The sequence below is a fragment of the Homo sapiens genome, chromosome 20, assembly GCF_000001405.40.
Source record: "Homo sapiens chromosome 20, GRCh38.p14 Primary Assembly".
In the NCBI taxonomy this organism is placed as follows: Eukaryota; Metazoa; Chordata; class Mammalia; order Primates; family Hominidae; genus Homo; species Homo sapiens.
The window spans coordinates 6,100,238-6,123,319 of NC_000020.11; the positions used below are offsets into that span (position 1 = coordinate 6,100,238).

Here is a 23,082-nt window from a genome sequence, read left to right on the forward strand (position 1 = left end):
AAGGAAATATTAGTTAGCATTAAAAAGACATAAAATATGATACATGCTACAATAGGAATGAATGAATGAATTCTGAAAATACTATGCTAAGTGAAAAAAATTATTCATAAAGTACCACATTTTGTGTAATTCCACTTATAGGAAGTTTCCAGAATAGGCAAATCCACAGAGACAGAAAACAGACTGATGATTACTCAGGGCTGGGAGGGTAGGAGGGAACTGGGGAGTGACCGCTAATGGGTATGGAGTTTCTTACTGCGGTGATGAAAATGTTCTGAAATTAGATGGTGGTTAATGGTTGCACAACTCTGAATATACTAAAAACCACTGAATTGTACATATTAAACAGGTAAATGTATGGCATGTAAATTATATCTCAAAAAGCTATTATAAAACAGCTAAACAGAAAAACCATGACTATTATTAGATGGACACATGAGGGAATACTTTCTGTAATCTTTAAATGGGGAAGTCTATTCTAAGCAAGACAAGAGGCCTAAAAGTTGTGATGCATAAGGCTGGCTTGACAACCTAAAATTAAACATTTTTAATGGTAAAAAATATCCTAAAGAAGGTTACAAATTTATAAAATATAGGATACAGATTGAAAAAATATTTGAAATATTTGAATAATTAAAAAAGTTTGTAATAAATATAAAAAATGATGTCCATCATATACACAGTACTCCTATAAATCATATGAAACATATAAATAATTTAATAGAGTTTGTGGCAAATATATAAACAGGTAGTTCACAGAAGAAAGCAAAATGGCCATAAAAACATTGGAAAAGATGCTCAATCTCACTAATTACTAGAGAATTCAAACGAAAACAAGATGACCTAATTTCCATTTTCCTATCACATCTACCTACATTACAAATACTGATAATGTTTGATGTTGGTGAGGATGTGGGGATATCAGCCCTTTCACAGATGCCGTTAGTAGAAAGGTAATTTGGTGACATAAAGCTTTAAGCTTTTAGTATCGTTTTGCCCTTTGATAAGCACATCCAGTGTTACTGTTCCAAAGAAATGCAAGCACTTGCGAGATACTTTTACAAGAATGTTCAGCACACTTAGGTCCTGATAAACTACAGTTTATTTAGCCTTTCCTTTGATTTTTTTTCAGTGGTTAAAAAAAGTGAGTCTGACTTACTTATACTGACATGAAAGATAGCCATGATATGTTTTGAAGTAAAAAGAAGCAAGCTACAGAGAAAACAAATGATCCTACTTATCTAGGGAACACAAAGTCTTGAAAATCTATTCAAAAATATGTTTGTAAACATGTCTAAACAAGTCTGCAAGGATGGTTGGTCATGAAGCTAACTGTGGCTGCCTCTTAGGAGAATGGTCATGATACAGAACTGTTTTCCATTTTTACTCTAAATAATTTCTTTCTTATTATGTTTGTTTGTTTATTTATTTTTGAGATGGACTCTTGCTCTGTTGCCCAGGCTGGAGTGCAATGGCGCGATCTCAGCTCACTGCAACCTCTGCCTCCCAGGTTCAAGTGATTCTCCTGCCTCAGCTTCCCGAGTAGCTGGGATTACACGAGCCCGCCTCCATGCTCCGCTAATTTTTTTTGTATTTTTAGTAGAGACAGGATTTCACCATGCTGCCAAGGCTGGTCTCAAACTCCTGACCTCAGACAATCCACCTGCCTCAGCCTCCCAAAGTGCTGGGATTACAGGCGTGAGCCACTGTGCCCGCCCTATGTTTGAGTTTTAAAAAATTAATTTAATTGTGGTAAAATATATGTAACATAATATTTACCATCTTAACCATCCGCCTACTGTTTTTTAGAGGCACGGTCTCACCCTGTCATGCAGGGTGTAGTGCAGTGGTGCAATCATAGCTCACTGCAGCCTCGAACTCCTGGGCTCCAGCAATACTCCTGCCTCAGCCTCCCTAGTAGCTGGGAGTTCCCTCTCTGGAGGCCTGTTCCCATTTCTCCAGAGACAATGCTGCATCACAATGTTCCAGATCTTTCACAGGTCATTGACAGGCATCCTATAGGACTTCCCCCCAATACCCCCACCCCGAGAACTCTTTCAGTGGGTTCTCCAGTGACTTAGAAACAAATTTTTTCCTTGGTGGGGTTGGCTACTCATACCCTCTCCTTGGCCCTTTTCTTTGCTTAATTGAAAATAGAGATGGGCACGGTGGCTCAAGCCTGTAATCCCAGCACTTTGGGAGGCTGAGGCAGGAGGATCTCTTGAGGTCAGGAGTTTGGGACCAGCCTGGCCAACATGGTGAAACCCCATCTCTACTAAAAATACAAAAATTAGCTGGGCGTGGTGGTGCATGCCTGTAGTCCCAGCTACTCGGGAGGCTGAGGCAGGAGAATCGCTTGAACCTGGGAGGCAGAGGTTGCATTGAGCCAAGATCGTGCCACTGTACCCCAGCCTAGGTGACAGAGTGAAACTGTGTCTCAAGAAAAAAAAAAAAAAAAAAAAAAGAAAAGAAAATAGAAACCTCAAGCTGGAAACCACATGAGTTCTGCCACCTCTCCACTCCTTCACTCCTTGAATCCCTGTTTCTCCCTGTCTAGTCAGTTCAGTAAACCCTCCACCCTCGTCCATCATTCCAACAACCAACAATAAAAATAAATAACAAAACCTACTTAGCATAGTTTTCTTGCTCTTTCTTAAGAAGGGGTTACTATTTAGATCTAATTATTTAAGATTCTCTATTGGCCCAGGAGCAGCTTTCAGTATCTTCCAAGCCTCTTTTTAGAACAGATGTGCTTTTCCTGTACTGAACACTAAAATACTATGAACTATCAGAGTTCTAAAATGTGTGTTTTTTTAATTCACAAATTTTGAACACATTTAAAAAGGGGCAAAAGGTATGTGATAAATGAATTCATTATGAATGAATTTGAAAGGGACAAAAGAGTGTTCAATAAAAAGTTAGTCCCCCTCTCTACCTTGTTCCCTGGAAATGGTAGTTTCTCTATGGGCTGTTTTGCATCTTTTAATAATGCACCTGGAGTCTGTTTCATATCAAAAAAGAGCTGATTCATTCTTTTTAAAAACAATATGGTATGAATGTATCATAATGTATTTAACCAATTCTGTAGCTATGGACATTTAGGTGGTTTCCAGTCTTTTCCTAAAACAATATAATAACCGCCCCTGTATACCTACATGTCAGTTTGCATGTGTGAGTATAACTGTGCTATAAACACCTAGGAGTGGATTTGCTGAATCAAAGCTATGTAGAACTGTAATTCTGATACTGCCAAATTGCCCTCTATAGACTAATTTATACTTTGACCTGCAAGCAGTCTATGACAGAGCCCATTTCCTGACACTCTTGCCAAGATAGTATGTAACTTTTTGATCTTTGCCACTGTAAAGCATTGTAGTTCATTTTCTATGAACTATATATTTACATCCTTTGCTCATTAGTCTTCTGGGTTGTTGGTCTTCTTATTACTGATTTTTAGGAGCTCTTTACATATTAGAGAAATTCATCTTTTGTTTGTAGTATGTGTTGTAAAGACTTTTACTTTGTTATAGTTTTTTTTTTTTTTTTTTGGCCAGATGTACAATTTTCATTTTTTATTAAAATGTACCAATCTTTTCTGGATTCTTCATTTTTTGAGTCTATTATTATTATTATTATTTTATTTATTTTTTGAGACAGAGTTTTGCTCTCATTGCCCAGGCTGTAGTGCAACAGCATGATCTCGGCTCACTGCAACCTCTGCTTCCCGGGTTCAAGTGATTCTCCTGCCTCGTTCTCCCAAGTAGCTGGGATTGCAGGCACATGCCATCATGCCTGGCTAATTTTTGTATTTTTAGTAGAGATGGGGTTTCACCATGTTGGCCAGGCTAGTCTCGAACTTCTAACCTCAGGCGATCCACCCGCCTCAGCCTCCCAAAGTACTGTGATTACAGGCATGAGCCCCTGCGCCCGGCTGAGTCTATTATTTTTGAAATGTTGAATTCTAGCATTTTACGTATCTGAGATTTTAATCAGCACCTGTTACTAAGGACCTGTGGCCAGTATGAATCTCTCTGAAAGCCAGAGAAGCTCTCTAGTCCTCACTGTAGATTTTAGTTTCTACTTGTAGGGTGCCTTGTAAATTTGCAGTGGCTTCATGGGTGTTCTTTCTTCTTCTTAGATTTGATTGTAGCTGCCACGAGAACACAAATTACATCTAAAATTTCTATATCCCTCTATTTATGCAGCACAGAGTAGGAGTCTTAAACTTGATTTTATCTATAGCACTCATAATTTTGAGAGAGGGGGAAGGGAATACTGCCATAAGTACTAAAGTGGTTGAGGATCACAGTGTCCTCCAATGCCATGTCCCATTATCCTGAGTCTTCCTGTCACCTTTGGGTTGACAGTTTCTGTGTGGCTGTTAGATTCAAATCGGTTTCACTTTTTAGGCTATGAAGAGGGAGCTCCTCACCAATTAAGCGGGCAGAGGCTGGAGGCCAAAGAGCCAGAGACAACAGCCCTTGTGACCCTCAGCTTCAGTGTCCTTGTCCCCTTCTGGAGTACGATTCGTTTGATTTCTTCCACTTTTTAGACAAATACATATTTAACCCTGCTCCTCTATATTTATACCAATGATCTGCCATTATCTGGCTTATTTGACTGTGAAGTCACTTACATGTTCCTAATGGTTTTTCAGGGGGCAGATGACTCAGCTGCATTCTTTTTAGCTCAAGCTTAGTTCTGAAGCAGCGGATTGAATCGGGGGAGTCTCTTGGCAAAGAAACTGCTGGAAGGGTCCCCAAGGACCCTATGAGTCCTTGGGCTGAGTGATCCTATCATCCATCAGGTGCCTGAACTGGGAAAGCCTGACTCACAGCGTGTGGGGTGAGGGGCAAAGAAAGTACCAGATGCAGTCTCTGTCTCCAAGGACTTGATTGTCTATTTGTAGAAAAAAATCCACAGATGTGGTGTGATTAGAGGAGTGAGTCCTGAAATTGTACAGTACTCAGCTGTGGCTCAGAGAAGGCAAAGGCCCATGTGACCGAGAGTAGAGAAAAGCTCCTTTCTGGAAAGAGTGGAACCTGAATGTGGTCTCAGAGCAGGGTTCTGATTCTGGGGTTCTCAGACTTGGAAGTTTGATTATCAGGTGGTCCACAAGCTTGTATGAGGAAACACAACCTCTCCAATTGCATCGACTTCGAATGGAAATTTAGCATTTCCTCTCAGGATGCTAAACCACAGCATTGCAGAGTACTTGTCACTCTGTGACCACCAGAATCAAGATTTTGTTCCTTCTGTATGCCAGTTGTTGCTGCTGTCTTCAAGCAAGGCTCACCCACATCACTACTTTGAAATTATGGTGGTTATGAGAACTACAAATCTTCTTTATTCAATTAACTAAAAATATATTACTATATACATTTTCAAAAAGGGTTTGGCTACTACAGTTTAATATAAGTGTTTCATTTTGTAGTCCTATGTATTTTATCTCATTAATTTGAAAACATTATTTTAATATACAACAGTTTTGAGTTCTCAGTACCCAGCTTAGTTCTTGGCCTACAGTAGTTGCTCAATAAATAAACACACAAACAAACAACAGATGGGGCACAGATTTGAATAGATAAGATGGGACCAAATTACTGACTTAGTAACTGGAAAATGCATGGGCATATTTTATGTATGTGTTATCTATTTTCAGAAAAAATGTAAGGCAGTTTATTAGAATAGATGGCATACAACAAGATAGCTTAAATTAAGAGTTAAGCAAGGAAATGCTAAAGTTGAGTCATGAATGAGGCTTAAATATAAAATCACAAAAAAGTATGGATTTGGTTTTAGCAGGCAATGAAAAAACAAAAACAAAAACAAAAAACCTGGACAGTTGCAAATTCACAGTAGAGTTAAAAAAAAGCCAAGCCAATTGCGTAGGAGAAGCAGTACAGTAATTTCTCCTGGAGATTTTATCGAAGAAAAGCCAAAATTTGCCCTTTTGCCATGATTCACTTATGCATTCCAGACACAAGCTTGGTCCACAGGATAAAAATCAAGGACTGAGCAGGAACCTCTCCTTAGAAATGACAAGGGACAAGGTTTGTTTTGAAGATGGCAGTTGGGGAAACAGTGGAAGCTGAGGTGAGCCTTTGCAGACCAGACCTAAAGTCAGGACCAAGAAGAAGACAGTGCCTCTTACAAGAGGTGGAAATGCTGGTGTAGATGAGAAAGGGTCTGTACAGAAAGGCTGACCAAGGCAAGCTCCTCCAAGTGTCTGGCAGTAAATGGAAAAGAGCAACAGGCACAAAACAGTGATGGGAGCATGCAACACAGTGACCCTGCGCACTCAGAGGACCAGTCATCCAGTTTATATCGTCGACACTGGGCCATTGTACCGCTGACTCTCAGCTCTTCAAAAGGGCTCATCAGAAGGAAGGAAGAGGCAGAAGTTCAAAGGACTTATCTCACCCCTCATTTGTTATTCTAATAGACTTCAGGGGGAGATGTGCAGTGAAAATAGAATTGGTGACCAGCTGGGTGACCAGGTGAGAAAAAGGCATTACATAGATGATCCCTTTCCCTCAGTTCCAAAGAGTAAGCAAGCACTGGAGTGTGGAGTCCTATGTGCACCATCATGTGATCCTAGCTTGTTCATGGGAACCTGCCTTTAAACCTGACCTCTGACAACTCCTTTCCTTCCTCAGCATTAAGAACTTCAGTTCTGGCCAGATGCGATGGCTCATGCCTGTAATCCCAGCACTTTGGGAGGCCGAGGTGGGAGGATCATGAGGTCAGTAGTTCGAGACCAACCTGGCCAATATAGTGAAACCCCGTCTTTACTAAAAACATAAAAATTAGCTGGGCATGGTTGCATGAGCCTGTAGTTCCAGCTACTCAGGAGGCTGAGGCAAAAGAATCGCTTGAACCCGGGAGGTGGAGGTTGCAGTCAGCCAAGATCGTGCCACTGCACTCCAGCCTGGGTGACAGAGCAAGACTCTGTCTCAACCAAAAAAAAAAAAAAAAAAAAAAGAACTCCAGCTCTCTGAGCCACTCCCATCTTGTTTGACCATTCCTGCAAATGGAGGGGGGCAGTGCATGCCACGCTAGGCGCAAAGATCCTCAGAGACTCCGGCTAATTTGGTAGCAGCTTACTGTGCTCAGTAGCGACCAAAGGATAAAAATTCAGAGACCAGGGTCCATGTATCAGTCTCACCCTGCAGGGCTAAACAGGCGATCACACAAATAAATTCATCCTAATTTTCATAAGCAAATGCCTCCATTTTATCCTTTCATGCATTCATATTAAAAAGAGAAAGACAAAAGAGAAAAAGTTGCTTACTTTAGGATTCAAGTCGAAGAAAGAATAATATTTAAATCGTAAGAGCAGCTGCTCATCCTCTTGGATGCCTTGTTCCATAAGGGAGCGTGAGGAGTCTAGCCAACTAGAAAATGACAGCATGAGTTTTAGAAGCCAGTCAATTTTACATATATATCCATTATATTATTATGTCATATATTATATACTACATATATATATCCTTGAACAAAATCAGGGTATGTAATACAGATTGAGTATCACTAATTTGAAAATCTGAAATTCTCCAAAATCTGACACTTTCTGAGCACTGACCTGAGGCTCAAAGGAAATGCTCACTGAAGCATTTTGTTCTGCTTTGTTTTGTTTTGTTTTTGAGCCAGAGTCTTGCTCTATCACCTAGGCTTTAGTGCAGTGGTGCAGTCTCGGCTCACTGCAGCCTCTGCCTCCCAGGTTCAAGCGATTCTCTTGCCTCAGCCTCACGAGTAGCTGGGGCTACAGGTGCATGCCACCATGCCCGGCTAAATTTTTTATTTTCAGTAGAGAGGGGGTTTTGCCATGTTGGCCAGGCTAGTCTTGAACCCCTGACCTCAGGTGATCTGCCTGCCTTGGCCTCCCAATGTGCTGGGATTACAGGCGTGGGCCACTGTGCACGGCCTCGCTGAAGCATTTTGAATTTCAGAATTTTGGATTAGGGATGCTCAACTGGTGAGTATAATGCAAATATCCCCAAACCTGAAAAAGTGTAAAAAACAAATTCTGAAATTCAAAACACTTCTGGTCTCAAGCATTTTGGATAAGGGATACTGAACCTGTATAACAAAAAATCAGTAAGCACATAATAATAGCTTATATTTGCATTTTATCTTACAGTCTTCAAAGTGCTTTATAGATTTTTTTCTCATGGATACTCTAAAGTAATCCAATGAAGGGGCCAGGGCAGTTCTTATTATCTCAGCTTTGTAGACAAAGAGACTTAGTCTGAGTGACATTAGATCATCCTTAAAGATCACAGGCCTCAGCAGGGTGCGGGGACTCATACCTGTAATTCCAGCACCTTGGGAGGCCAAGGCGGGTGAATCACCTGAGGTCAGGAGTTTGAGACCAGCCTGGGCAACATGGTGAAACCCTGTCTCTACTAAAAACGCAAAAATTAGCCAGGTGTTGTGGCACATGGCTGTAATCTCAGCTACTTGGGAGGCTGAGGCAGGCAGGAAAATTGTTTGAACCCGGGAGGTGGAGGTTGCAGTGAGCCGAGATCATGCCATTGCACTCCAGCCTAGGCAACAGAGACTCTGTCTCAAAAAAAAAAAAAAAAAGTCACAGGCTTGGTTATGGGGCCAGCTTGAGAATCCATACGTCCTGACTACCTGCACCACTTCTCCTTTTACCAGATGGTTTGCCCCAATGCCAGCTCTGTATTACTGTCTAGAACTTTCTGCAATGAGAGAAATATTCATATCTGTGCTGTCTGATGCATTAGCCCCAGCTGAATGTGGCTGTTAGTGCCACATTTTAATTTTAATTAATTTAAAATCCTGTCCACATTTAGATATCCACATGTGGCTAGGGGTTCCTGTACAATGCATAGTAGAGTTCTAGAGTTGAGAAATAAAAACTGGGGAAAGAGGATGACCAACACAAAATCACCATCCTAAAAGAGTTGACAGTCTGCTGGGGGAGACCAAGCCTCAAATAAAGGGACAATGTGATGTTGGAGTGAGCAAAGTGTCAGGACAGAGCTACAAGGAGGGGGCCGATCTTGAAGGTAATACTTGAGCAGGAGACAGCATGTGGTTGGGCCTTAAATGACAGGTAGGGACTGAACAGTTGGTAAAGGGGAATGGTCCTGGAGGTGAGGCAGTGACAGAAAGAATGAGTGTGCACCCAGGCGGCACGGGGCCATGGGAGCATGGGAGGACACGGAGACACCTGTTGGGGCCAGATCTTCTAGGAAGGTGAATGCTGTTGACGAGTTTGACTTTATCTGGTAGGCAATGGGGAACAACAGAAATGGTAGTTTCAGAAATAGTTTGGGTGTATTTTCTGAGACCATTTCAAACAGAGCTCAAGGAAGTTGCTCATTAGAATGCCTAAAGAGAAGAGCGACAGCTGGGCGCGGTGGCTCATGCCTGTAATCCCAGCACTTTGGGAGGCCAAGGTGGGCAGATTACCTGAGGTCAGGAGTTCGAGACCAGCCTGACCAACATGGAGAAACCCAATCTCTACTAAAAAAATACAAATTTAGCTGGGCATGGTGGCGCATGCCTGTAATCCCAGCTACTCAGAAAGCTGAGGCAGGAGAATTGCTTGAACCCAGGGGGGCAGAGATTGTGGTGAGCTGAGATTGCGCCATTGCACTCCAGCCTGGGCAACAAGAGCAAAACTCCATCTCAAAAAAAAAAAAAAAAGAGAAGAGTGACATTCTACAAAAGACAATGTAAGCCTGGTGGGTCACCTTGGATTTATCCCACTGGCCCATGGGGACCAACACACTTATTAACTACCCTACATCCCACAAAATATACTTTGCATATCTGTAGTGGTAAAGAATTAGTATTCACAGATAGTAAATCTACTGAGTTACCCAAACATGTAAATTTAGGCACACTTTAAATATACTGAAATGACCAAAGGCTGAATTTTTCCCCTTTGTTGCTAAAATCAGCACTAACTTTTGCAAATAAAGCACAATCCCTAGGCCTACCAACTTGAAAATGAAACGTGACATCCCATCTCTTACTGTGTCGGCACTAGCTCAGAGAGAAGTAAAAGGAGCCGTGTCCTTACCCTGCATTGAGCTTGGCTTTATCAACCAGAGACCGAGGCTGGTACATATCCGCAAGTGCTTCTGGGGACTGGGGGGGTTGGCTGAATGCGAGGATGCTGCAGTTTTGTTCCGTCAAAGGGCTGTCACTGAACCAAGTCATGGTGGATGATGCTGGTGTTCCATTGATGGGGTCATATATAGGGGTCATGGTTTTACTGTATAAACCAGGACTTACTGCAAGGCAGGGGGATCAAGAACTATGATATGAGAATCCAGGGATATAAATCTTCAAGAAAATATTAACATTACTTACACTAAAATGAGTTTTGACTTTAAATTTGGCACCATTTAAAATAATATAAGTCAAGCTGGGCACTGTGGCCCGCGTCTATAATCCTAGCTACTTGGGAGGCTGAGGTTGGAGAATTGTTTGAGCCTAGGAGTTTGAGACCAGCCAGGGCAACATAGCAAGACTTCATCTCAAAAAACAAACAAACAAACAAACAAAACCCAAAAAATAATATGGATCATGATGGTACAGAGATTAGTAATACACAGGTAATGGTCTTATCTGTAAATTCAGCTCCTCAAAAGCCTTGGAACTCAAATATGTAAAAGCCTTCAAAAATCAACAGGGACAAACATTGGGGACCACCTCTTTTCTTTCTTTTGTTTTTTAGACGGAGTCTCACTCTGTCGCCCAGGCTGGAGTGCTGTGGTGTGATCCTGGCTCACTGCAACCTCAACCTCCCAGGTTCAAGTGACTCTCCTGTCTGAGCCTCCTGAATAGCTGGAATTACAGGCATGAGCCACCACACCCGGCTAATGGAGACCACCTCTTTTCTAATAATTCACAGTTTTCCTATTTCAGTAGGAGTCTTGGCACTATTAGAGAACTGGAGACCTCATAGAATGCATGTACCCAATATGTTTCAGGTAGCCCCTTAAACAAATAGCAGGACTTGCCAATTTTAAGAATTCAGTAGGCTGATGATTTATAAATCAGCTGGCTCTAATTTGTACAATTTGTTCTTTTCATTGGAATACACTATGCAAGAAAGCCCTCAATCTTGGCCGGGTGTGGTGGCTCATTCCTGTAATCCCAGCATTTTGGGTGGCTGAGGCAGGCGGATCACTTGAGGCCAGGAGTTTGAGACCAGCCTGGCCAACATGGCAAAACCCTGTCTCTACTAAAAATACAAAAATTAGCCAAGTGTGATGGTGCACACCTGTAATTCCAGCTACTCAGGAGGCTGAGGCATGAGAATCACTTGAGCCCGGGAGGCAGAGGCTGCAATGAGCCGAGATTGTGCCACTGCACTCCAGCTTGGGTGACAGAGCAAGACTCTGTCTAAAAAAACAAAACAAAACAAACAAACAAAAAATGAAGAAAGAAAGCCTCAATCTTGCAAGCAAGCTAGAGATTTGATTGTTTTGATATAAAAAGAAAAGGATGCTTCTCCTCCAGAATTTTCACCTGCCCTCCTCTTGCATGCCCCATAAAAAACTGAATTCAGGAAAGAATCACACAATGATAGAATCATGAAGAGAGAAGTGTATTTGAGTGATTTAACTTATCTTTTTTCTTTTCTTTTTTTTTTTTTGAGACAGGGTCTTGCTCTGTCACCCAGCCTGAGTGCAGTGGCACAATCTTGGCACACCGCAACTTCCACCCTCAGGGCTCAAGCAATCCTCCCATCTCAGCCTTCTGAGTAGCTGGGACCACAAGCATGCAGCAGCATGCCCAGGTTATTTATTTATTTATTTTTTGTATTTTTAATGGAGATGGAGTCTCACCATATTGCCCAGGCTGGTCTCAAACTTCTGAGCTCAAGTGATCCACCCACCTCAGCCTCCCAAAGTGCTGGGATTACAAGCATGAGGCACCGTGACCAGCCAGTTACCTGTTTTCTAAATATCACTCTTTTATCCCAAATTTGTGGTCAGTGGTACTAAAATTTTGCATTCATTGGCAACATCAGATATACAATTCAAGTAATGAGTTATTAAACATGCTTGATGAAAAAAAGTCTGAAACACATTTCTGTTAATTCTAAACTTGACTAGATAGCCTTTCCTCATCACATCAGTTCTGCAATTTTATTTCTCCTTTGTTTGGTGGGGGTGGGAGGAGAGATATATTTCTCTCTTGAGTTTTACTGTACGTTCAAACAACAAAACACCTGTAACAAGTCTTACCTGATGAACCTGAAGCTGTTGGAGAACTCTCCAGGTTTAGAATATCTTCAATTATGGGTTCCTTATTATTTTTGTCTTTTTTCTTCTTCTTCTTAAAATAGTCACCAGACGGCTTTAACAAGGAAAGCTCTTCTGATCTTCTAATATCTAGAAATAAATATTTTTTAAAAATGAAGAAAAAGTAAAAAGAAAACTCCTTCTAAGACTCAGGGTCATTTTGTGCATTTAAAATCATTTCTCAGGAAATTTCTGAAAAGTAAATGGGACTAAACTGCATCCCTTTTGAAGAAACAGAAGGGGAAAGGGGAACAGAGACCTCCAAAGTAGGTGGGGGGAGAAAACGGTGGAGGGAGATTCAGTCTAGTGAAATTTCTGGTTAGAAAAATTATTATAAAAATATTTCAAATGTATCTAAAGCAAAGGGAATGGTATAATGTCCCCTTCATGGGCTCCCCAGCTTCAGTCATTACTAGCATTATGCTATTCTTGTTACCTATTTACCACCAACTTTACCTCCCTCTCCCCTTTCTTCCTGATATGGTTTGGATGTGTCTCCACCCAAATCTCATCTTGAATTCCCATGTGTTGTCAGAGGGGCCCAGTGGGAGGTAATTGAATCATGGGGGCAGGTCTTTCCTGTGCTGTTCTCATGATAGTGAATAAGTCTCATGAGATCTGATGGTTTTATAGGGTGTTTCCCCGCACAAGCTCTCTCTTTGCCTGCTGCCATCCATGTAAGACGTGACTTGCTCCTCCTTGCCTTCCTCCATGATTGTGAGGCCTCCCCAGCCATGTGGAACTGTAAGTCCATTAAACTTCTTTCTTTTGTAAATTGCCCAGTCTCAGATATGTCTTTATCAGCAGCATGAAAATGAACTAATAGACTTCCCTTCCTTGCTCCCTCTCCCTTTCCTTTTTCCAGTTTTTTAAACAACCAACAAAGGTCCTGCTTCCTTTTTTCTTTATAGATCACAGATCTTGAACGTCTTTCTTTTACACATTGCCCATCAGCTCATTTTATCCCTGTGGTGACACCCTCATGCCCTGCCCATTTCTTCTTGGTCCTCACCATTTCAGCACACCTGGCTTCTGGCGGAATCTAGACCATGCATCTTTCTGCCAGAGGCTTTGCTCTGATGGCTCACCAGGGTCTGCACTGCAACAGCCCACATATTCCGGGAATTAATGCTCCCCAAGAGCAACCTTCAGTGACTATCCAGGGTGCTGCATAAACATCCTTACCCTGAGGCTGTGTCTACACTGTCTCCCAGGGGTCACCAGCTGCTGAAGTGTAACCTGATTGGTGACACTCTTCTCTTTTCAGTCTTACTTCCCTGTCCCCAACAGTATTTCCTGGCATCACCTCCCAAATAAACTATTTGTACTTGAATCCTTATCTCAGGGTCTTCTTCTGGGAACTGAAACTATGGTAATCCCCATTTCTCCCATTAATCAAATATATTTATAATTGCTGATCAGAATTGCTGATAACCTTTAACTACACTAGTGGCTATCATTCCAGGTAAAAACCAATTAATTTGGACTTTTAGTTTCTGAGCAGCTTTGTTGAAGGTAAGTGCACTGATTCCATTAAGTTCTCTCATCATTTCGTTCATATACTGCTCAGTGTTGAGACTGAGCCTAGCAGTTTAGCTTGACTCTCCCCAGCAGCCAAGGATTGTCAGGTTGCAACACACGTGTGACCATTCCAAATGCATAATTTATACACAAACTCGGTCATGAATAAAAAATTTCACTGTGAGCACTAAAAGCAAAACAATGAAACAGAAACACCTGTATCTTCAAGGTTAAGATTTGTGTCTTTTCTGTTCTTCAAGGGAAAAACCACTAAACTGCTGCATTTGATTTCACTTCAATTGATAAGATATAAAATGCAATGATTAGAAATGCCACGCTGAGCCTTTAAAACTATTACAAAGAGATAATCAGGAAAAGAGAACATCTGACTGCTTCTGTTTACTTGAAAACTTTACATTTTTGGTATCAGCTGTGATGTGTGCTTCCAGTCCACTGTGGTGTATGCAATATACTATTTTATGTAATCATTTACTTTGCTTTCAAATCCTCATTAGAATATTACCAAAAACACAAGGTGTCCTCATGCTTGCCATTTGCACACCAGGGACAAGACTGCAACTTACATTCTGTAATGAAAGTTTCCATTCATTTGTTCACTCAACAGTTATTGTATGCTAGGCATTGTGACTGGAGTGAGGAATGCAGAGATGCTCAGGAAACGGTTTCTGCTCTCACCCTACTTCATATACCATACCAGCCCCCACTGCCCAACCCTGGCATTCCCAATCCTGCTCATACTTTTTCTCTTTTTTGGGGTACTATCCATCCCATTTTAACCTCTTATATTCTTTTTTAACTTGTTCCATTTATATTTTAAAATTTGTTACATTTACATTTATTGGTTAGTGTCTGTCTCTGCCTGCTAAAATGTAAGCTCCAGGTGGCAGGGATTTTAGCTCTGTATTGCTACTATATCCCTAGCACTCACCACAATGCCTGGGACACAGTAGGTGCTCAATAAATATTTGCTGAATGAGTGAATAGTTTATGGTTTAATGGGAAAAATAGATTACTCACTATATATCACTATATATTATCTATTCTGGGTTCAAATGTTGATTTTTGGTTTTGGAACCAATGAATACACCTATAATACTTTCAAAAATTATAAAATGAGAATACCTTCATGGGGTGTTTCCTTCCCTTTATGGAGTTTTATAAAGAAAAATTGGTTTGGGTAGTGTTGTCTTTACGACTGTTAAATTATAGGATACCAAATCTATAAATAATTAGGTTTAAATTCACAATTAAGTGTACTTTTCTGCTTAATCACTTCATAAGTGATTTTTATGGGCAGAGTTATTTACTTGAGCCAGGTCTTAAGCAATTAAGACTTTGGAACACCATTATCTCAAAAACAATAAAGACACATAGCTCTATGGTGATTAAGTATTTAATACAACTCTTTAAATCTTAAATACTGTACAATAATGTTTGAGTATAGCTTGGATCAATAAATTTTGGGGGGCAATCTTAGTGGTTTATCTTGTCTATTAACAAATCTCTTTTGGAATAGTTTTAAGCTTTGTGGAGATGTACCTGATTTATGCCAATAATGTTCCACTTGGCTTAACTCCACTTAAATGGCTGCAATACCCAGAAGGGCTTAAACATGTGCTTCCTAATAGGTGAGTGTTCTGTAGCAATTACTTGAAGTAGGCAGAATGCACACATAATTTTCCTGTCTAGCTTTGCAAGAGTCTACAGGGCACAGGGGCCTTTCCTGGGTACTTACTCAGGATTTTGCAGATATCACTGACAGCTTTAAAAACCACAGCTGAGAAGCTGACTCGCAACCTCACCATCTTCAAATTCGGCAGACGAAGGCGCAGCATTTTATGCTGAGGGGTGAAGAGAAGCTTTGCATCTGCCTGGACCCCATATTTGTCCAGGGTCCAGTGGGTTTTCAGAAGCCAGCAATGCTTCTGTTCCCACCAAAGAGCAAAGTCTGACCAGTCTTGGGATATATCTGCAAAAATGAAAGCACAATTAAGTAAAATGAGAGAGGGCCCAGCTTGGAGGGTCCTGGAGCTGCAGAGTCAATTTCATTGTGTGCGAAAATGGAAACCAACAACTGATCTCCAGCTCCTCATGGCCTTTTACAATTCAAGGCTTAACAACTTTTGGCTTCTTTCCAAAGTCTCCAGGGAAAAAATAGGGACTGGGATGGCATTAGGCAAAATACCTAATGTAGATGACAGGGTTGATGGGACAGCAAACCATCATGGTACATGTATACGTATATAACACACCTGCATGTTCTGCACATGTATCCCAGAACTTAAAGTAAAATAAAAAACATTTAAAAAATTAAATCAAATAAAAAAATTTAAAGATAAAATAATTAAAAAAGAAAAAGAAAAAATAATAGGGTCGGGTGCTGTAGCTCACACCTGTAATCTCAGCACTTTGGGAGGCTGATGCAAGCGATCACCTGAGGTCAGGAGTTCGAGACCAGCCCGGCCTACATGGCAAAACCCTGTCTCTACTAAAAATACAAAAATTAGCCAGGTGTGGTGGTGCGCACCTGTTAATCCCAGCTACTCCAGAGGCTGAGGCAGGAGAATCACTTGAACCCGGGAAGTGGAGATTGTAATGAGCCGAGGTCACACCATTATATTACAGCTTGGGCAACAAGAGCAAATCTCTGTCTCAAAAAAAAAAAAATGGAAAATAGGGACTAAATCTTACCATCATTTACATTTAGATACCGTGGAGGAAAAGAAACATAAAAATGTGTTCACAATGAATGCTAAAGTTCTGTTCGCTAAAATCTCTGTGCCATGGCCCTTTCTGAGAAAGCATCTGACTTTGTTTAATCAAGATTATTTCTCTTATAGAAATGTATCCTTATACCACTGTGTCACAAGGGAGTAGCAATAGCCTCCAATCAAAGTCCACACAGAAGTACTGTACAACTGACATTTCATTCTTCTCAGTAATCTCCAACTCTTTATCAGTACCACCATATCCAAAGTGTCCAAATTGAAGTCAGAGTTAAAATATTTTCTCCCTTTCAATGTTAGCACCAATGTCAATCTTTCCCCTCCTTTAACGTTGGCATTAAAATAGAATCTTTACCCTTCATCAATATTGGAGTCAATTTTCAATCTTTTATTTTGCAAAATGAAGAGTTACCAGTATCTTTGTTTTCTTATTTTTCTTTAAATGATTTTTTCTTTCTCTTTTAAATTAGAAACTCTTTTTTTTTGAGACAGAGTCTCACTCTGTTGCCCAGGCTGGAGTGCAGTGGCATGATCTCGGCTCACTGCAACTTCTGCCTCCTGGGTTCAAGCGATTCTCCTGCCTCAGCCTCCCAAGTAGCTGGGATTACAGGTGCGCACCACCATGTCAGTCTAATTTTTTTTTTTTTTTTGAGATGGAGTCTCACTCTGTTGCCCAGGCTGGAGTGCAGTGGTGTAATCTCAGCTCACTGCAACCTCTGCCTCCCGTGTTCAAGTGATTCTCCTGCCTCAGCCTCCTGAGTAGCTGGGATTGTAGGCACGCACCACCATGCCCAGCTAATTTTTGTATTTTTTGTAGAGACGTGGTTTCACCATGTTGGTCAGGCTGGTCTCGAACTCCTGACCTCGTGATCCACCCACCTCAGCCTTCCAAAGTGCTGGGATTACAGGAAATTTTTGTATTTTTAGTAGAGATGGGGTTTTACCATGTTGGCCAGGCTGGTCTTGAACTCCTGACCTCAGGTGATCCACCCACCTCAGCCTTCCAAAGTGCTGGGATTACAGGAAATTTTTGTATTTTTAGTAGAGATGGGGTTTCACCATGTTGGCCAGGCTGGTCTTGAACTCCTGACCTCAGGTGATCCACCCACCTCAGCCTCCCAAAGTGCTGGGATTACAGGCGTGAGCCACTGCTCTCAGCCAGAAAATGCTCCTCTTAATGCTGTTAGTAGAAGCATAAATTGGCACAACTATTTTGGAAAACCTTATGAATCAGCATTTTTTTTCTCTGAACTATACCACCCAACAGAAATGATCTCTGAAAGACAGGTGTTACAGCAGCTTTTTCTGTAAGTGCATGAAAATGTAAACAACCCAAATGTCCATTAAGAGGTAAATGGATAAATAATTGTGGCATATTCATACAATGGAATATTATATGGTAATGAAAACGAACCAAAACAATATGCAACAGTATGGATAAATCTCACAGATATAATGTTGAGTGAAAGAAAGTCAATGTGTAAGAGTATATCCTTTATAATCTCATTTGTATAAAGTTCAAAATCAAGCAATGATTCCTGTGGTGTTAGAAGTCAGGACAGTGGTTACCTTTGGTAGTGGTGACTGGGAGGGGTCGGGGTATGGGGCTTGGGTGGGGAACAGCTGATGTTCTATTTCGTGATCTGAGTGGTTACAAGACTTTGTGAAAATCCATTGAACTGTTTATGATAAGTGAAGCCTTGTTTATAATAAGTGAATTTTTCTGTATGTATATTATATGTCAGTCAATAAGGACTGAAAAAAAAACTATCTTGCTAGAGCAAATGAAAAGCCCGCATCTAAGGCCTTAAATAGAAGGCAAAAGAAGCACAAAGAAAATAGAATGTTATTAAATTCTAGGTTGATAATGTTGACATCTGACACGCTACAAGGTGAAGAGTGTAACCCTGAAGATTTCTTTCTTTGTTTAAACAGGGAGCATAGTAAACGGTGGATAAGTGTTGAAAAACTCCTCAGCACCAATTTATCACTAAGCTCTCAAGTATTAACAGAGAGTTAACCCAGTAGTCTAATGCCAAGCTACTTAAAGTCACATTAGATGTCACCGGTGGAATGGGTCCCATCCCTGTTGAAGTCCAGCATTATACCTACTGGGAAATTTAGCTTGCCACCAAAGACTCAAGGTTTTTTTTTTTTTTCCCCCGACACCGAGTCTTGCTCTGTCACCCAAGCTGGAGTGCAGTGGCACGATCTTGGCTCACTGCAACCCCCGCCTCCCGGGTTCAAGCGATTCTCCTGCCTCAGGCTTCCGAGTAGCTGGGATTACATGCACCCACCGCCACGCCAGGCTAATTTTTGTGTTTTTAGTAGGGATGGGGTTTCGCCATGTTGGCCAGCCTGTTCTTGATCTCCTGACCTCAGGTGATCCGCACACCTTGGCCTCCCCAAGTGCTGGGATTACAGGTGTGAGCCACGGCACCCAGCCTGGGCTATTTCTTTCTCTCCTCTGGGATGAGGGGTGGGGGATTGCTCTCCAGGGCATTACAAGATAAATGATCAGAAAAACCTACACCAGCCATTAGTGGTGATGCACCAGACAGGGTTTCTAATACAGAGAAACCGTAAAGCAAGAGTAACTTACTGATCTGTTCTACTAACTTGAGCATCACTCCTCCAACATGAAGGTCTCCAGATACTCTCAGTGTGACGTCTTTCTGCTGCTCTTCATTGGGATGGTCAACGCGGACCACAAGCTCCCAGGAAGCAAATGTAAAGTCAGTGGATGACAGCATTGTGGCAAATGCTGGTGTCTGCTGAACAAAAAGGCAGACATAGATTGGAATGTGGGAAGGAAACGGGACTTGTCAGTAGACTTGCAGAGCAAAATTTCTTTTTTGTTTTGTTTTTCATTGTAACCTCCTCTTCAAAACACTCTGCAAGGTTCCAGGTGCTCCAGATATCAAATTTGGCATCTTAACTTTGAAGACAAAAAGTTTTATAAAAATGGTCTCAAATCATCTAAATTTACATACTTCATTTTTCCATTCACCCACTTCTCCAAGACCACTTGGCTATGTATTTCCTTCGTCCACCCAATGCTTCAATCCTCATTTTCTCTCTATTGACTTCTTTTGACCTTCTCTCAACTATTCTGGCAATAGGCAATCTTCCATATTATCTTTTAAAGAAATCAATTTTATTAAGGTATAATTTGCATGTAATAAAATGCGCAGATTTTATATACTATAGTTCAACATATTTTGTTGTATGCAAATTATACTTCAATAAAGTTGATGTTTAAAAAGGATGCCATTAAAGCCTCTTATCTTTAATATCTTTAATATATGTATATTATTACATTCCTCCTACAAAAATGTATATCTTCCCATAATAAAGCTCAAAAAATAAAAAAAAGCAAAATAATTCCTATTTCAGTCATTATAATATATAGTTTTACCTTAAATACATATAGATACAGGTCATTAATAATTATTGCCATGTATTCGATTTACTTATTGTTCTATGTCATATAAAAATTGATTATAAATGCACCAATTAAAAATTTGGATACATCTTTGGCAAAAGATTTAAAAACAGGAGTAACAGATATAAAAAGCTCACTCTTCAAAGTACAGATAGGGATGTGAATTTCAAACCCATCGTTTTCCCCTCATGGGAGAAGCTAGCAGGAAAGAACGTTCACAACTGAAATGTTTCAGGGGGTAACTGGAACACTGGAATCCAAATTGGCAGAACTGAAACAAAACTTGAGATGTCAGTTCTCTCTTACTTTTAAACAGAAAGAAATAATGCTACTGCTCCTGGCTGTTTTAAACATTTAAAGTAAAAATTATTTAAATGATAATGAGTCTTTTTCACTTTACTATGTAAAGCCAGCTTATGAGAAATTCATGTTTTCATAAGGCCTATTTTTAAGAAACATCAATGCACTCAAACTCCTAAGAAAGGGCTTCTCTGAGGGTGTACACAAATCCCCCAGGGATCCTATTAAAATGCAGATTCTATTCAGCAGGTCTAGGGAGGGGCCATACATTTCTTAACAGGCTCCAGATGTTGCTGGTCTGTGGGTATACTCAGTTCTTCCCTTCAACCTATTTAGATCAATATTAAACCAGGGATGATGGTAATATCCGAGGAACATTACTTTTAATAATAATTAAACAACCAGTGTCATATCTGTTCTGCATGTTCATTCGAAACGACTCATTTGTAAGCATAAGAGAATCTCAAAATACGCTACACAGATAAATTGAATACTGCAAATCTGAACAGATTTAGGACAGATTTTATGGGTGAGGATGAAATTCAAGAGTTCAGAAGTAGCTCCTTATGTTTTTGTTTTGTTTTTGTTTTTTTTGAGATGGAGTCTTGCTCTGTCACCCAGGCTGGAGTGCAGTGGCATGATCTTAGCTCACTGCAACCTCTGCCTCCCGGGTTCAAGCAATTCTCTGCCTCAGCCTCCCAAGTAGCTGAGATTACAGGCGTGTGCCACCACGCCCGGTTAATTTTTGTATTTTTAGTAGAGACAGGGTTTCACCATGCTGGCCAGGCTGGTCTTGAACTCCTGATCTCGTGATCCACCTGCCTTGGCCTCCCAAAGTGCTGGCATTACAGGCGTGGGCCACCACGCCCAGCCGTTCCTTATGTTTCTATAGTCAGAAGCATGCAACGATGCAATGCATCTCCTCCCCATGCACAGAGATCCACACAGAACCCTCTGCATGAGGAGTGCCACTCAGTGACTGCATTAGGCCTAACTGCTTGCCTCTGTCATCATCAGCTTCAGGTATCATTTATTACCTACTGACTGTATGATGTGCTCTGTGTTAACTCCTGTCTTCTGTTATCCCTTTTTCATCCTCTCAGCAATCTCATTTAGAAATGAGGAAACTCAGCCTCAGAGAGATGAAGCAAGTTGCCTGAGGTCACACAGCAAGTTAGATGCTGGAGCCCAGGTGGAAATCCAGGTCTGCCTTTCTATTTCAAACTCTTATTCACCACACTGGGAAACCACTTTGATAATGTTGCAATGCCAAAATGAAAGAAAACTCCTCAAACTACGTGAACTAAATTCTCAGTAGCCTTTACTAAGCATTTCTATCAACACAAATCTTGCGCAGTGAGGAGACAAAAGATGCCCCTTCATCGTCAAACTCATAACTTGGCATTGAACTGTTCGACTTTAAGATCCTTACAATTTCTTAAATGCTATAATTGTGAAGTCTAGTTATTTAAAATGTTTTGTATATAAAGAAAATAACTTTTAAAGGTGATTCCTTACTGCTTATTTCACTGGGCAATCTGATATAAGGTCTTTTCCTAACTTGGGTGATCAAAACACTACTCATTCAGGCAATAGATGCTGATTCCCCTTACAACAAAATGCAGGCTAAAATTAGCCAAGCTGGTTTTCCTGCATTCCTTTCCTATCTTTCTGTGCCTTCATTTTTGAGTGAACGTCTAGTCTGCAGCAAGCTGTTACTTGTCAAGGATAGCAGCAAACTTCAGCCGGGAAAACGCATCTAAGGAGACCAAAACAAGAAGCAAAGTTACTGGCAGAGTGCTGAAAAGCCCTTCGCAGACAGTCAAAGAAACGAAAGCATGGAGGGATGGAGAGCAGGAAGGAGGAAAGATGAGGGGGAAACAGTCCCCGACCCTTCCCCTGGAATATCTGAAGGTGCTTGGTGTTCGAAGGCCACCCGACCTGTCTTTTGCCAGCTCTGCAGGATCCTGGGGCGGATGTTGGGTGGATAAAGCATGCCCCTTACTCCCATTAAGGCAGCACCTGCGGCTGAACTGAAAGTTTATTTTGCGGCCAGATGCGTAGGGCCGGAGAAGGTGGTCACATCCAGACGAAATTATTTTCAATCAACAGCTATTTAAGTACAAGAGGCTGCAGAAAGAAAGGGGCTAAGGGGGCTCAGGAGCCACTGGTGCCCATGAAAGCCTCCCAACCTCTAGCTCCCCAGCCCTAGCTCCGGAGCACCCACCTCCTTTCCAGGAGCCCGTAGCGTCCAGCCTCGCAGTCGCGCACGTGGAGAGCTGCGTCCCTACAAACTACCCCGGGCCGAGCCGAGGAGCGGGCGCTGGCGAAGTGGGGAGCGGGGGGCGCCCAGTGGCGGCGGCTGCTCAGCTAAGGCTGCGGCAGGTGAGGGCTGGAGCCAGGGCGAGCAGGCGAAGCTGCCTCGGGACCTCCCACGGAGGCTCGGTGCCTGCCCCCAGCCTGGCGCGGCGTGCCCGGTGCACTGCACGGCCCCAGCGGCCCGGCTGAGGGCAGCGCGCAGCGTGGCAGGCGAGGGCACGCCCAGCCCCGGGCCTGCTAGGTCTCGCTCCCGCGGAGAGGAGGCGCAGTCTGCAGATTTTTAAGGGCAAAGGGTGGCCGAAGGGCTGCTCGGCGGAGAGAAGGCGGCGAGAACCCGGGGCGCACGCTCAGTATCTGCAGCTCCTCTTGCGATGTCTCATCCTGACGCTTTAAGGCCGCCTCCAGTTTCCCTGTTCCCCCAGGCCCGCCGGGGACTAGCCCAGATGATTAAAGC

General features: G+C 41.8%; 1 protein-coding gene across 4 annotated transcripts in view, besides 1 other annotated feature; it reads right to left on the reverse strand.

The window, feature by feature from the left end:
- The window catches only part of FERMT1 (FERM domain containing kindlin 1), a 48,186-nt gene extending 25,393 nt beyond the window's left edge, over positions 1-22,793 (reverse strand). Inside the window, exons 1-6 of one of the 4 annotated variants that reach the window (NM_017671.5) lie at positions 22,537-22,793; positions 19,167-19,335; positions 15,574-15,807; positions 12,240-12,386; positions 10,061-10,274; positions 7,295-7,397 (exon numbers count right to left, since the gene is read on the reverse strand). In NM_017671.5, coding sequence (NP_060141.3) covers positions 7,295-7,397; positions 10,061-10,274; positions 12,240-12,386; positions 15,574-15,807; positions 19,167-19,317 — 849 coding nt within the window. In that variant the 5' untranslated portion in view covers positions 19,318-19,335; positions 22,537-22,793. Of the gene's footprint in view, positions 1-7,294; positions 7,398-10,060; positions 10,275-12,239; positions 12,387-15,573; positions 15,808-19,166; positions 19,503-22,536 lie in introns of those variants that run through there. The other 3 variants (XM_024451935.2, XM_047440259.1, XM_047440260.1) reach the window with 3 other exon arrangements.
- Positions 22,679-22,798: a silencer, noted in NCBI's record as "silent region_12663". NCBI's record gives its function as "represses an Ori minimal core promoter by ATAC-STARR-seq in GM12878 lymphoblastoid cells {active_cell/tissue: GM12878}" and the evidence as "EXISTENCE:reporter gene assay evidence [ECO:0000049][PMID:35858748]".